The 15,166-nt window shown below is 39.0% G+C and overlaps 1 protein-coding gene and 2 long non-coding RNA genes across 11 annotated transcripts in view, besides 2 other annotated features; 1 reads left to right on the top strand and 2 right to left on the bottom strand.

Moving 5' to 3' along the window:
• LOC105375659 (uncharacterized) overlaps window positions 1-8,655 on the bottom strand; it is a 50,787-nt gene extending 42,132 nt beyond the window's left edge. The window contains exon 1 of the long non-coding RNA XR_007061023.1: window positions 8,587-8,655. This is a non-coding gene — a long non-coding RNA (uncharacterized LOC105375659). The remainder of the gene's footprint in view (window positions 1-8,586) is intronic.
• Window positions 1-15,166, top strand: part of NIPAL2 (NIPA like domain containing 2) — a 104,410-nt gene that overhangs the window by 30,678 nt on the left and 58,566 nt on the right. For all 9 annotated transcript variants that reach the window (NR_135747.2, NR_135745.2, NR_135746.2 and 6 more), the window contains exons 2-3: window positions 9,471-9,539; window positions 10,924-11,095. Coding sequence is in view for 5 of the 9 variants with exons in the window: in NM_001321636.2 (NP_001308565.1) it covers window positions 9,471-9,539; window positions 10,924-11,095 (241 nt within the window). In the remaining 4 variants the exon portion in view is untranslated. The remainder of the gene's footprint in view (window positions 1-9,470; window positions 9,540-10,923; window positions 11,096-15,166) is intronic.
• Window positions 2,745-3,944: an enhancer, noted in NCBI's record as "MED14-independent group 3 enhancer chr8:99271842-99273041 (GRCh37/hg19 assembly coordinates)". NCBI's record gives its function as "activates an origin of replication core promoter dependent on BRD2, BRD4, P300/CBP and CDK7 cofactors, and independent of MED14, by STARR-seq in HCT116 cells {active_cell/tissue: HCT116}" and the evidence as "EXISTENCE:reporter gene assay evidence [ECO:0000049][PMID:35650434]".
• Window positions 3,017-3,867: an enhancer, noted in NCBI's record as "NANOG-H3K27ac-H3K4me1 hESC enhancer chr8:99271919-99272769 (GRCh37/hg19 assembly coordinates)". NCBI's record gives its function as "activates a minimal SCP1, AML or CMV promoter by ChIP-STARR-seq in primed H9 embryonic stem cells {active_cell/tissue: H9 hESC(primed)}" and the evidence as "EXISTENCE:reporter gene assay evidence [ECO:0000049][PMID:30033119]".
• NIPAL2-AS1 (NIPAL2 antisense RNA 1) overlaps window positions 14,190-15,166 on the bottom strand; it is a 72,899-nt gene continuing 71,922 nt past the window's right edge. The window contains exon 3 of the long non-coding RNA XR_928444.3: window positions 14,190-14,302. This is a non-coding gene — a long non-coding RNA (NIPAL2 antisense RNA 1). The remainder of the gene's footprint in view (window positions 14,303-15,166) is intronic.

The raw sequence follows: 15,166 nt of genomic DNA, 5'->3' as shown, positions 1-15,166 counted from the left end.
GTATGTGTCGAGGAATTTATCAATTTCTTCTAGATTTTCTAGTTTATTTGCATAGAGGTGTTTGTAGTATTCTCTGATGGTAGTTTGTATTTCTGTGGGATCGGTGGTGATATCCCCTTTATCATTTTTTATTGCATCTATTAGATTCTTCTCTCTTTTTTTCTTTATTAGTCTTGCTAGCGGTCTATCAATTTTGTTGATCCTTTCAAAAAACCAGCTCCTGGATTCATTAATTTTTTGAAGGGTCTTTTGTGTCTCTATTTCCTTCAGTTCTGCTCTGATTTTAGTTATTTCTTGCCTTCTGCTAGCTTTTGAATGTGTTTGCTCTTGCTTTTCTAGTTCTTTTAATTGTGATGTTAGGGTGTCAATTTTGGATCTTTCCTGCTTTCTCTTGTGGGCATTTAGTGCTATAAATTTCCCTCTACACACTGCTTTGAATGCGTCCCAGAGATTCTGGTATGTTGTGTCTTTGTTCTCGTTGGTTTCAAAGAACATCTTTATTTCTGCCTGCATTTCGTTATGTACCCAGTAGTCATTCAGGAGCAGGTTGTTCAGTTTCCATGTAGTTGAGCGGTTTTGAGTGAGATTCTTAATCCTGAGTTCTAGTTTGATTGCACTGTGGTCTGAGAGATAGTTTGTTATAATTTCTGTTCTTTCACATTTGCTGAGGAGAGCTTTACTTCCAAGTATGTGGTCAATTTTGGAACAGGTGTGGTGCGGTGCTGAAAAAAATGTATATTCTGTTGATTTGGGGTGGAGAGTTCTGTAGATGTCTATTAGGTCTGCTTGGTGCAGAGCTGAGTTCAATTCCTGGGTATCCTTGTTGACTTTCTGTCTCGTTGATCTGTCTAATGTTGACAGTGGGTGTTAAAGTCTCCCATTATTAATGTGTGGGAGTCTAAGTCTCTTTGTAGGTCACTCAGGACTTGCTTTATGAATCTGGGTGCTCCTGTATTGGGTGCATATATATTTAGGATAGTTAGCTCTTCTTGTTGAATTGATCCCTTTACCATTATGTAATGGCCTTCTTTGTCTCTTTTGATCTTTGTTGGTTTAATGTCTGTTTTATCAGAGACTAGGATTGCACCCCCTGCCTTTTTTTGTTTTCCATTTGCTTGGTAGATCTTCCTCCATCCTTTTATTTTGAGCCTATGTGTGTCTCTGCACGTGAGATGGGTTTCCTGAATACAGCACACTGATGGGTCTTGACTCTTTATCCAATTTGCCAGTCTGTGTCTTTTAATTGGAGCATTTAGTCCATTTACATTTAAAGTTAATACTGTTATGTGTGAATTTGATCCTGTCGTTATGATGTTAGCTGGTTATTTTGCTCGTTAGTTGATGCAGTTTCTTCCTAGTCTTGATGGTCTTTACATTTTGGCATGATTTTGCAGCGGCTGGTACCGGTTGTTCCTTTCCATGTTTAGCGCTTCCTTCAGGAGCTCTTTTAGGGCAGGCCTGGTGGTGACAAAATCTCTCAGCATTTGCTTGTCTGTAAAGTATTTTATTTCTCCTTCGCTTATGAAGCTTAGTTTGGCTGGATATGAAATTCTGGGTTGAAAATTCTTTTCTTTAAGAATGTTGAATATTGGCCCCCACTCTCCTCTGGCTTGTAGGGTTTCTGCCGAGAGATCCGCTGTTAGTCTGATGGGCTTCCCTTTGAGGGTAACCCGACCTTTCTCTCTGGCTGCCCTTAACATTTTTTCCTTCATTTCAACTTTGGTGAATCTGACAATTATGTTTCTTGGAGTTGCTCTTCTCGAGGAGTATCTTTGTGGTGTTCTCTGTATTTCCTGAATCTGAACGTTGGCCTGCCTTGCTAGGTTGGGGAAGTTCTCCTGGATAATATCCTGCAGAGTGTTTTCCAACTTGGTTCCATTCTCCCCATCACTTTCAGGTACACCAATCAGACGTAGATTTGGTCTTTTCACATAGTCCCATATTTCTTGGAGGCTTTGCTCATTTCTTTTTATTCTTTTTTCTCTAAACTTCCCTTCTCGCTTCATTTCATTCATTTCATCTTCCATTGCTGATACCCTTTCTTCCAGTTGATCGCATCGGCTCCTGAGGCTTCTGCATTCTTCACGTAGTTCTCGAGCCTTGTTTTTCAGCTCCATCAGCTCCTTTAAGCACTTCTCTGTATTGGTTATTCTAGTTATACATTCTTCTAAATTTTTTTCAAAGTTTTCAACTTCTTTGCCTTTGGTTTGAATGTCCTCCCGTAGCTCAGAGTAATTTGATCGTCTGAAGCCTTCTTCTCTCAGCTCGTCAAAGTCATTCTCCATCCAGCTTTGTTCCGTTGCTGGTGAGGAACTGCGTTCCTTTGGAGGAGGAGAGGCACTCTGCTTTTTAGAGTTTCCAGTTTTTCTGTTCTGTTTTTTCCCCATCTTTGTGGTTTTATCTACTTTTGGTCTCTGATGATGGTGATGTACAGATGGGTTTTTGGTGTGGATGTCCTTTCTGTTTGTTAGTTTTCCTTCTAACAGACAGGACCCTCAGCTGCAGGTCTGTTGGAATACCCTGCCGTGTGAGGTGTCAGTGTGCCCTGCTGGTGGGTGCCTCCCAGTTAGGCTGCTCAGGGGTCAGGGGTCAGGGACCCACTTGAGGAGGCAGTCTGCCCGTTCTCAGATCTCCAGCTGCGTGCTGGGAGAACCACTGCTCTCTTCAAAGCTGTCAGACAGGGACATTTAAGTCTGCAGAGGTTACTGCTGTCTTTTTGTTTGTCTGTGCCCTGCCCCCAGAGGTGGAGCCTACAGAGGCAGGCAGGCATCCTTGTGCTGTGGTGGGCTCCGCCCAGTTGGAGCTTCCCGGCTGCTTTGTTTACCTAATCAAGCCTGGGCAATGGCGGGCACCCCTCCCCCAGCCTCGCTGCCGCCTTGCAGTTTGATCTCAGACTGCTGTGCTAGCAATCAGCGAGACTCCGTGGGCGTAGGACCCTCCGAGCCAGGTGCAGGATATAATCTCGTGGTGCGCCGTTTTTTAAGCCCGTCGGAAAAGCGCAGTATTCGGGTTGGAGTGACCCGATTTTCCAGGTGCCGTCCGTCACCCCTTTCTTTGACTCGGAAAGGGAACTCCCTGACCCCTTGCGCTTCCCAAGTGAGGCAATGCCTCGCCCTGCTTCGGCTCGCACACGGTGCGCGCACCCACTGAGCTGCGCCCACTGTCTGGCACTCCCTAGTGAGATGAACCCGGTACCTCAGATGGAAATGCAGAAATCACCGTCTTCTGCGTCGCTCACACTGGGAGCTGTAGACCGGAGCTGTTCCTATTCGGCCATCTTGGTATTGTTTTCATCTTACAATTGAGAAAACTGAGAGTCAAAGAAGATAATGGCTTTGCAGGGGTCACTTATAGTGAATACCTGTCAGGGACAGGTCTCCTGACTTTTGGAACAGCGCCTTTTGGTCTGACTTTTACAATAGCTTGCTGCCTCTATGCCATGGTAACCCTCAGCAAAATATCTCACCTTTTTTTGTACCCCCTTCTTCTCACTGTAAGTGATCCACAGTATCCGCACTCCACTCTCTCACCTTCTTAGTCAACCTTAGTCTATTATTTCTTGTTGTGTAATAAATCATCCTAAAGTTTTGTGGTTTAAAATTACAACCATCAATGAGTGCTTTGGAATCAATTCGTCAGCTGGGGGTTCATTGATATGGGTCAGACTTGGCTGAGTCCACCTGGGTTCATTCATGCCTCTGCAGCCAGCTGGTATGTCAGCTGGGGGCTGGGTGCTCTAGGGATGGCCCCCCTCTGGGGTTGGACATTGACTATTGATTAAGGCCATAGACACAAGCACAGCAGGGTTGTGTGTGTCCCCATCTGTCATCACCCAGCAGGCTAGCCTGGGCTTGTTCTCAAAATATTTCATAACCAGAGGCGTGCAATACTTTTTGAGGCCTAGTCTTGGAACTAGCGTACTTTCGCTGCATTTGTAGCCTGAATTCAAGGGATAGGGAAATAGACTGTTTTTCCTAACAGGTGGAGGTACAAGACTACCTGGCCAAGGGCACGGATATAGGGAGGAGTAAGGAATTGTGTCCATTTTTGCAATCTGCCATACTCTGATTACTTTCAAATAACTTGTCTGATACATTAAGATATTAATAATGTAATAGTTTATACCTTTCCAGGAATACCTGCTTTGGGCAAAAATAAACCTGTGAGAAGAATATTTAAAGGAGGCCGGGTGCGGTGGCTCACGCCTGTAATCCCAGCACTTTGGGAGGCCGAGACGGGCGGATCACGAGGTCAGGAGATCGAGACCATCCTGGCTAACACGGTGAAACCCCGTCTCTACTAAAAATACAAAAATTAGCCGGGCATGGTGGCGCGCGCCTGTAGTCCCAGCTACACGGGAGGCTGAGGCAGGAGAATGGCGTGAACCCGGGAGGCGGAGCTTGCAGTGAGTCGAGATCGCGCCACTGCACTCCAGCCTGGGCGACAGAGCGAAACTCCGTCTCAAAAAAAAAAAAAAAAAAAAAAAAGGAATATTTAAAGGAACAGCAGCATAATGCTGTCTTGATGAAAAATTATGTATTTTTTTATTTTGTGGCCTGTGTATTTGGTGTCATAGCCAAGAAATTATTGCCAAATCCTGCCACCATTTTTTTTAATACGCAGACTGTTAAAAGAAAAACTTCAGCTGAATTGAATTTAAAGGCGCTTAATTAAGTAACGAATGATTCAGGAGTCGGGCAGCCCCCAGAATCACAGCAGATTCAAAGAATCTCCAGGGATGCCTTGTGGTCAGAACAAATTTATAGACAAAAAAAAAAGGGAAGTGGCATATAGAAATCAGAGGTGAGATAGAGAAATAGCTGAATTGGTTACAGATTGTCATTTACCTTATTTGAACACAGTTTGAACACTCAGAAGCATATGACTGGTTGAAGTATGGCTTCTGGTATTGGCCAAGACTCACCTATTTTTACAGGCACATACTCCTAAGTTCGGGTTTCAGTCTTGTTACCCACTAAGTTGGGTTACAGTTCATCCACAAGGACTCAAATGTAGAAGTACGGAGTCCTTCTCAGGCCATATTTAGTTGGCTTTAACACTGTTGACCCTGGGCCAGGGATCTATTCTGCAGCAGGTGAGTTTTTCCTTACTTCTCCAAGTCAAAGCACACTCTGACTTACTTCACCACCAATTTTGTATTGTTATAAAATATAAGTAATATAAAATTTTGCCATTTGTAAGTGTACACTTCTGTGGCACTAAGCACATTGTCATTGATGTACAGCTGTCATCATATCCACCTCCAGAATTTTTTCATCTATCCCAGCTTTATACCCATTAAACACAAACTCCCCATTCTTCCCTCCCCCAACTCTGGCAACCACCATTCTACTTTCTATCTTCATGAATTTGACTATCTGAGATACCTCATGTAAGTGGAATCACACAAGATTTGTTCTTTTGTGATTGGCTGATTTCACTTAGCATTATGTCTTCAAGGTTGTAGACAAAAGTAGTCAAACTCTGTAAAATATTTGAGGAGATTTATTCTGAGCCAAATATGAGTGACCAATGGCCTATGGCACAGCTCCAGGAGATTATGAGAACATGTGCCCAAGTGGTCAGGCCACAGTTTGGTTTTATACATTTTAGGGAGATATAAGACATCAATCAATACACATAAGATGTGCATTGGTTCCGTCTAGAAAGGCGGAACAACTGGAAGTGGGGGCTTCCAGGTCATGGGTGAATTCAAGCTTTTCTGATTGGCAATTGGTTGAAAGAGTTATTATCTAAAGACCTGGAATCAATAGAAGGGGAATATCTGGGTTGTGGAGACCATGGTTCTATTATGCAGATGAAGCCTCTGGGTAGCAGGCTTCAGAGCTCTCATCAGACCTAAAAAGGTGCCTGAGTCTTAGTAAATTCTCTCCTGGATCAGGGAAAAGACCTGGAAAAGGATGGAGATTCTCTACAGAACATTGATTTTCCCCATAAGAGACAGCTTTGCAGGGCCATTTCAAAATATGTCAAAGAAATAGGCCGGGTGTGGTGGCTCACACCCGTAATCCCGGCACTTAGGTAGGTCAAGGCGGGCAGATCATGAGGTCAAGAGATCGAGACCATCCTGGCCAACATGGTGAAACCCTGTCTCTACTAAAAATACAAAAATTAGCCGCTGAGATCATGCCACTGTATTCCAGCCTGGTGACAGAGCGAGACTCCATCTCAAAAAAAAAAAAAAAAAAAGAAAGAAAGAAAAAAATATATAGGGGTAAAATACTTTGATTCCTTTCAGGGCCTGCTATCTGTCATGTGATGCTATACTAGAGTCAGGCTGGAATTTGGTGTCTTATTGCTATAAAAAGTCTGTTTTGTCAGTCTTCAGATCTTTGTTTTAATGTTAATGCTGGTCAGCTGTGCCCTAATTCTAAAGGAAGGAGGGTATAATGAGGTATGTCCCAACCCCCACTTCCCATCATGGCCTAAATTAGTTTTTCAGGTTAACTTTGGAATGCCTTTGGCCTAGGGGAGGGTCCACCAGTCAGTTGAGGGGCTTAGAATTTTATTTTTGGTTTATAAGGTTCATCCATGTTGTAGTGTATATTGAAATTTCCTTCCTTTTTAAGGCTGAATAATATTCCATTATATATATGTACTCTATGTTGTTTATGCATTCATCCATTGAGGGACACAGGTTTTTTCCACCTTTTGGCTATTATGAATAATGCTGCTATTATTGAATATAAGTGTACAAATATCTGTTCAAATCCCTGTTTTGAGTTCTTTTGGATATGTACCAAAAAGTGGAATTGCTAGACCATATGGTAATCCTGTGTTTAATTTTGAGGAATCTCCACGCCATTTTCCACAGTGGCTGCAGCATTTTACATTCCCACCAGCAATGCACAAGTGTTCCAGTTTCTCCCCATCTTTGCTAACACTTCTTTTCTCTTTTTTTTTTTAATTATAGCCATCCTACTGGATGTGAAGTAGTGACTCACTGTGGTTTTGATTTGCATTTTCCTAATGATTAGTGATGCTGAGAATCTTTTCATGTGTTTATTGGCCATTTGTGTGTCTTCTTGGAGAAACAGCTATTCAAGTCCTTTGCCCATTTTTTAATCAGGATGTTTTTGTTGTTGAATTGTAGGCATTCTTTAAATATTCTGGATCTCAATCCAGATATATGATTTGCAAATATTTTCTCTCATTCCATGGGTTGCCTTTCACTCTGTTGATAGTGTGTGTTGATGCAAAAAGTTGTTAATCTCAGCCAGGCATGGTGGCTCATGCCTGTAATCCCAGCACTTTGGGAGCTGAGGCAGGCAGATCACTTGAAGTCAGGAATTCGAGACCAGCCTGACCAACATGGCGAAATGCCGTCTCTACTAAAAATACAAAAATTTGCTGGGTGTGGTGGTGCACGCCTGTGGTTCCAGCTACTGGGGAGGCTGAGGCACGAGAATCGCTTGAACCTCTACCTCTAGGAGGCAGAGACTGCAGTGAGCCGAGGTCATGCCACTGCACTCTGGCCTGGGTGACAGAGCGAGATTCTGTCTCAAAAAAAAAAAATAAGTTTTTAATCTTGATGAAGTACAATTTATCTATTTTTTTCAATGCCTATGCTTTGGTGTCATATCCAAGAAATTATTGCCAAATCCTGCCACCAATTTTTGAATACCCAGCCTGAAGCCATTTAAACTGCTCAGTGAATGACTTAAAGAATTTTAAAGTAAGTTATTTCTATTCAACAATGTACTTTTATAATTATGGGAGATGTTAATAAATATCCATTCATGGCCAAATTTTTTTCTCAGTCTTCATTTTCCTGATTAATGCCAAGTACATTAGATGTAAATAGCAAGCATGGAAATAGTACATTGCATTGTGCCTCAATTGTTTCCCCATGAGGGATAGTGATCAAAATTATTACCAAGTGCCTCTATTAGGAAAAGAAAATTCTTAACTGATTAAAGAATATGGATATTATATATCAACTATATAATGAGTTTTCCACTTTTTACTTCATTTAAAAAATACTAAATTTCATTTCTAAATACTAAATTTCATGCTATACTTGAGTCAGGCTGGAATTTGGTGTCTTATTGCTACAAAAATCACATATAATAAAGCTCTAAAACTTCAAAGACATTTTGCATTCTGAAAAGGGTTCTTTGTGGTTGCAATGCTCATTTGAAATTCAAATAACTTCTTGGAATTTGAAGCTAGCTAGAAGTTATGTGCTGTAGAATAAGAGGGAGATGATCCTTTGTATCATTGCTAATTTACACTAATAGCAGATATTATACTTTTGGACCTAGATGGGAGCAACAAATGCATCTTTTGAAATCGTTAAATAATACATGAGCTATCTATGATAAACATCTTGGGCAACGTGTAAGAACTTACCTTTTAACATCTATAGTTCTTGTGTTACACGATTATATATTTTTTCAAGCAGGTGTTTATTAAATCTTCAATTTTATATAGCAGTAGATGATGCAGAAGACCCAATAGAAAGAAGCAGAAGACCCAATAGAAAGAAGCATAAGACTTGGTTCTTTTCCCTCAGAGAATTTGAGCAAACATGATAATATAAAAGAGTAAATAAGGGAGGCTTACCACTTAGAATCTGAGAAAGTCAAGGTGGGCCAAGGTGGTCTGAGGAGGTCTCAAGGAGATGTACCTCTGCAGGCCAGGAGGGCGAGGTTTGGTTGGAGTGAGTGAGAGGCATACCTGCATGACCTAGGAGAGCAGTGGCATGAGAAAGTGTCACATCTGGCTAGAGGATGGCGCGTGCCACATACCTGAGATAGAGGAAGCACATTAAAAGTAAGTCATGGACAGAGGCCTGGGTGAGGACTAATTGTGGTGAGCTGGTATAGCAGTTTATTGTTTGATATAGTAGACTGCAGAGAATCATTTTAGGTTTTTGACCAGGGGAGTAGTAGGAAAATTTAGCCCATCTCCAGTGGAGATCATAGAACCTTAGAAGTAAGGGATTTCTGGAAACATCTTATCCAATATCCCATTTTTACTTAGGCCAGAGAAGTGAAATAACTTGCTCAAAAGGTCACCCAGTTAGAAAAGAGCAAATCTGTGTCTCAGATTTATCCTTTACCTTGTAGTCCGATGATCTTTCTTTCATATCACAGTCCTCCAAAAGATATTAGAGAAAAGAAAATAAAAAGAAAGGATACGTAAGAAGCAGCATCTTGATTGGAAAAACCCGAATAACTATTTAACTATTTTATTTATTTTAGTAAATGAGGCAGAAAAATATCTAGAGAATTCATAAAGGACCAAGTGATTTCTTAAAAATAGTGTTCGAAAAAAGTGAAAAACTAATTCTAATTAAATCCTATTAATATCCCAAACCTACCCTGGGAAATGGGTGCTAGGCTAAAGCTGAATTACTGAACAAATGAATGAACACCTAAATTTGTCTTTTTTCTTCCAGTAAATATCTTACAAGTATTATTTAAGGAAAACATTTTCTTTTACAGATTCACCTTTTTGGAGTTTTGCTGGCTATTTTAGGAAACTTGGTGATCAGTATTTCTCTAAATATTCAGGTAAGAAAAAAGCTTATTTTTCTAACACTATAGATTGATCCAGGGACACATTATGACTCTCATGGGCATTGGGCACTTTTGTCTTTGTGGCTCTTTTCTCCATAAAAATTATAAAAAATATATATTTTATGACCTCATTGGTATAAACACAAATATAATTCAGGCTGGAGTGCATTCATTTTTCCTCTTCTTCTTCTGATTTTAAAAGAAATTAATTTTGCAGGATGGAGTGGTCTCTGACAGTATTGTAGACCCTAGGTAAGGGGCCGACGGTGTCTAATGGATAAATAGCACTGGTTTGATTTGCAGTACTTTGATTTCTTCCATAGCCTTTACCCCAGATGGGATTCGGACACTTTTTAGAAGCAGTTCATGAAAGTACAGATTATAGGGTTTTTTTCCCCTTTCTTTAAAATACTGTTAAATATGCCACTATAGACTAATGGTCTTGAGGAAAGAATGTAGAATACAAAATAGGAACTATAACTGAACATGAATTAGAAACATGAATAAATCGCTGATTTGCTAAACTGCAAACTGAATGAAATATGAATTTTTAACCAAATCATGAATTAAATAAAAAATTTTAAATCATTTCATGAATCACTTTTAAATAGAATCAAATTAGTGCAGTCTTTAAAACGATTTGAATCAAAATAAACCTGAGCATCAAAATATCTCCCAGGATGTTATATGGTAATTCCCTCTTATCCTCAGGGAATGCATTGCAAGACTCCCAGTGGATGTCTGAAACGAGAGCTAATACTGAACCCTATTCAGTATATACTATGTTTTTCCTATACATACATACCTATGATCACATTTAATTTATAACTTAGGCACAGTAAAAGATTAACAACAATAACTAATAATAAAATAGAACAAGTAAGTAAAATAAGGGTTACTTGAACACAAGCACTGTGCTACTGCAACAGCTGATCTGATAACCGAGAGGGCCACTGAATGACCAAGGGACAGGGAGCATCTGCAGCATGGATACGTTGGACAAAAGGAGGATTCACATACCAAGCAGGACAGCAAGAGATTTCATCCTGCTACTCAGAAAAGCATGCAATTTAAAATGTATGAAATGTTTATTTCTGGAATTTTCCATCTAATATTTTCTGACCATGGGTAATTGAAACCACGGAAAATGAATCCGTGGATCGGGGGGTAACTACTATATTTGTTTATACAAATCTTTGCTAGAAAATGACCTAATATAATTTTCAATAATTCCCCAAAAATGTATTCGTTCTTAAAAAAAAATACAAAAATAAATTAGCGTTCTTATAAAAAGAATTAAAGGAATACAAAAGAAAAAAAGTGGCATTCCCCTCATAGCTCAGAATGTTTTCTTATTTGTCTTCTGATTTACTTTCAGAAATATTCTCACCTTCAGCTGGCACAACAAGAGCACCCAAGGCCATACTTCAAGAGTGTGCTGTGGTGGGGTGGTGTCCTGCTGATGGCCGTGGGAGAGACGGGGAACTTTGCAGCCTATGGATTTGCTCCCATTACTCTGATCGCTCCGTTAGGCTGTGTGTCTGTTACAGGTAAGCCATTCTGTATTTTGACAAATAGAAACTTAAAGAGCAGAATAATCGGAGAAAAACACACAACTGAAACAACAAATGCACCAAAGAAGAAAGTCTATTGCCTGGTTTCTTATCACGTTAACATGGAACAATTATTCTGCTAATTTCAGCGATCCATTGTCATGCTGTCACATTAACCATGAAGAAACTTGCATTTTGTGACTCTAACACCTATGTGTGAAAGCCTGATGCCTGAGTCTTAATAAATTAACGGTGACAGAAGATGTTATACTGTGCTTGTAATCATTAATGAGTTACCTAAAAGCATTTGTAATGCAATGTTTTATTCATATGTTAAACTGATAATGCCTGTAGTTAGAGTCTTTGATGCCTGGTCTTGACTTCATAGTTTAGTATCTCTTTGACATTAAGAATTAAATATTGGTTAGTCTACATTACTATAAGAATGTGTAATTTTACAGTAATGTCACAAATATCTACTTTGAAATTTTATGTAATTTACTAAATACATTTAGAAAAGAAAAAATGAGATGTGAAAGACTGAAAAAAATGAGCAAAAATCATTGCTAAAAAGGAGAACAAATTCTCTAAGCCCTGTTAAAATCAATAAAATCTTTTTGGTTTTACTCTTTATCTGCTGCTATGGAAACAGAATGTTTCTAAATTTGCGTGAATTTAGAACTTCATTGAAAGAGAAACAAATTGATAGTCATTAGCTGTTAACAACTAGATCAAGCATATCACATGTTTACATATCCCAATTTAAATGTTCCTCCTAAACAACTATATGATATTCTTAAAGAAAACATCATTTAAACTGAAACGATGTAGATTCGAAGAGAATTTTATTTTGTAAGTCATTTATCTCAATCATTTAAAATATTTTATTTAAAATACTTTAATGAGGTCTAATAGAATATTTAGCAAAAAACACTTACTTTGCTTTCTAGAAATTGCCTACTTAAAAGAGCCATCCTGTTACTACTCCGAAGAGGCACACAATTTATGTAATCATTTACTGTTTTTAACATTCCAATAGAATAAGCAAATTGGGTAAACCTCACTTTCTATTTAGTAAACCACTAACATGTACATAGACATTTTAGACGTTTTATGTTTTCAAAATCTGGGAAATAACAGATAAAAGATCTAGTTATATGATGAACTTGGGATCCCTCCAGACTCCTGCTGTCTTGAAAATGTTGTTTTATTCTCCATAATGACAGTGTATGTCATGCTGATCTTTAGTTTTTTTCCTTACTTTATGCCGTTTCCATGAAATAGCCAGAGAAAAATGTGTCCAGGCATATTAGATAGATAACTGGGGAAGGCTGGTGGTGAGTGCACCATATCGTATTGAAATTCTCCATTTATCTCATGTGTCCTGGTCCTGGGAAGCCTTTTGCGGGAGTGGGATATAAGAAAAAGGGTGCTACCTCAGGTGGTTCAAACAAAGGGGAAATATTGTAAAGATCAGAGATTTCACAGAAATGCGATATAGCCAGACCTCATGGGGCCTGAAGTGAGAATGGGGCAGTTTTCAGCACTTCAGGGTCAGCAGTGGCACCCTTCCTAGACCTTCAGTGAAGCTGCCTGTGAGTCTGCCCACCTTGGCAAGACTTGATCCAAGCTCTCATCGAAACCTGAAAGCTGAAGCTTTCCAATCTTCCACTCAGAAAGAATGTCCTATTCTCCCCAAGTCCTCTGTGAGCTGGTCCACCCACCTTAAAACTCTGAGCCCACTGCCTTGACAGATGGGCTTTTTCTTCATGCTACAGATTATTTTTCTTTGTGTGCTGTTAGCCCCAATTAATGTTTCAGCTTCAGAACATTTTTAGCTACCTCCCTCTCTGTCCATCTGAAGTGATTCAAAGATGTGAACTTACAGCCTCAAACACAACTCATTTCCTACTTTACAATCTTTGCACACAGTAATGTATGTTCATAAATAGTATTCCCACGGCAGTCCTGAGCTGGATTTAAGTCATTGTAAAGCTTTGTGGGTGGGTGAGGGACTGCTGGTGATGGAGGATTTTCCCTAGAACAAACCCCTGCTACCCTGAGATTCTTTATAAAGACTCTAGAAACTCTAGAGAATTTGAAGGAAAAGGGAAAGTATAAACCAGATGTCTCTTATGTCTGTGTCTACAGATGAAGCAGAAAATCCACACTTTCCTATGTTATAACTTTTTTTCTGTATCATTTATTGGGAGCTTTAAGAAATCAAATCTCCCGTTGAATTTTAATAAAAAATAAAACCTATTGCAGTGTTGCTTGGGAAATTGCATATTCTTTTCTGATTTTTCTTCTATCTTTTGTTGCTTTTCTAAGAGTAGGAGACAGAGAGAGAGAGAGACTATTAAAATCCAGAACACTTACAATAGTTTTAGTCCTTAAGTCCAAGTGTGTTAAGTCCCTTAAGTCTTTCATCTTCCTCCCTCTCCTTAGACAGTCTGGTTCACACCAACACATTGCGCTCCATTTTTCCTTTCCAGAAGCAGGGAGAGACTGTGCGGGTAAACATGTGGACTAGTTTTACTACACTGATGATTGCTAATATACCAGACTTGCTATTTTGTCTCACATAATCAAAATTTCTGCTCCTTTTGTGTACTTTGAGTATAATATATATTTGTATACTTTGAGTGTAATATATTCGATTATATATTATATATAATTATATTAAATATATGATATTTAATATATTTGTATTAAATAATGTAAATATAATTTTATTGATTATGTTTAATATATTTAATATAATTATATTGATTATCTTTAATATATATTTAATATATTAATTATATTTAATATAATTATATTAAATTGTATTATGTTATACATTTAATATATATTAAATATAGTTACATATTAATAGATAATATATTAATTGAATATGTGTTCAATTAAAGTATACATGTCATATGATTGACATGTATATACGTATGACATATATGACATGTATGTCATATATGACATATGTCTGACATATACTAGTCATATATAGGACTCATTTGTAAGAAGCACCACAGTTAGCAATATAGGCATTTCAACTTGCCCTCTACCCATGTTTTCCTTTCTTGAAGCATCTTTCTTCTGTGCTTTCTTTCCCTCTCTCTGTGTGTCCTGCTGTTCCTCACTGACGTGCTCAGCTTCAGGCAGCATTTGTCCAACATTAGTTTTACAGGTAGATTCATAGGTGTTCTAAGAAACAAAGAATTCCATAATCAAACAGGATTCTGCAATTTGGGGTTTTAAAGGCGACACAGGTTTCATTAGTGTAGAGCTTCTTGGGGCCCTAAAACAGGCCTATGCACACTATGAATCTTTGAGGGGCAGATGCAGTACGCCAGGTCTCCAAAACATACTGAACACATCTGAGATTCCCTTGATTGTATCTCAAGGGACAGCAGTTCTGCAGAAAACCCTTTAGGGAATTCTTAAGGCAAAGCTCACAGGCAGTCACATTGTGCTAGAGACTCAGCCTAAATAACCCGTCTATGCTTCACTGTGAAGACGGCACAATGGGGAAAGATCTCAGTGCACAGGGATGCCCAGGCCTGGGTCCAGCTTTTTGAGAGAGTCAGAACCTTTGTATCCTTGTGTCATCTTTTAATTTTACTTTATTTTTCTCACTGGAAGTCTTTCTCAATGAATAATACGTCCAAAATCTATTCTGACTAAAATGCTAGTTTTACTAGCAGTGTGGTTAATTCTAGATGTGGATTAGTGTTTCCATTAATTCACAAAGCTTAATTAATGATTTTCAATTTCACCTAGAGGCTAGGTTCAATACTCGTCCAAATAAACCAGGGCAGCAGAAAGGTCAAGAGCTCTAGGGCCACACCGCCAGGGTTCAAATATCAGTTCTGCCATTGGCAAGCTCTGTGACCTTAGGCAAATTATTAAAACCAATTTATGCCTCAGATCCCTAGCCTGTAAAGTGGGAATGAAAGTAGTTCCCATATGAGAGGTCATTGTGCAGAAGAACTGAGTAAACTCAAACATCTAAGGACAGTGTTGGTATTGGTTAGATAGTATTTGACATAATGACAACACTGGCTATTG

This window comes from Homo sapiens, chromosome 8 (genome assembly GCF_000001405.40).
Source record: "Homo sapiens chromosome 8, GRCh38.p14 Primary Assembly".
Taxonomy (NCBI): Eukaryota; Metazoa; Chordata; class Mammalia; order Primates; family Hominidae; genus Homo; species Homo sapiens.
The sequence above is the reverse complement of the archived record's forward strand: the minus strand, read 5'-3'. Positions and strand labels throughout refer to the sequence as shown.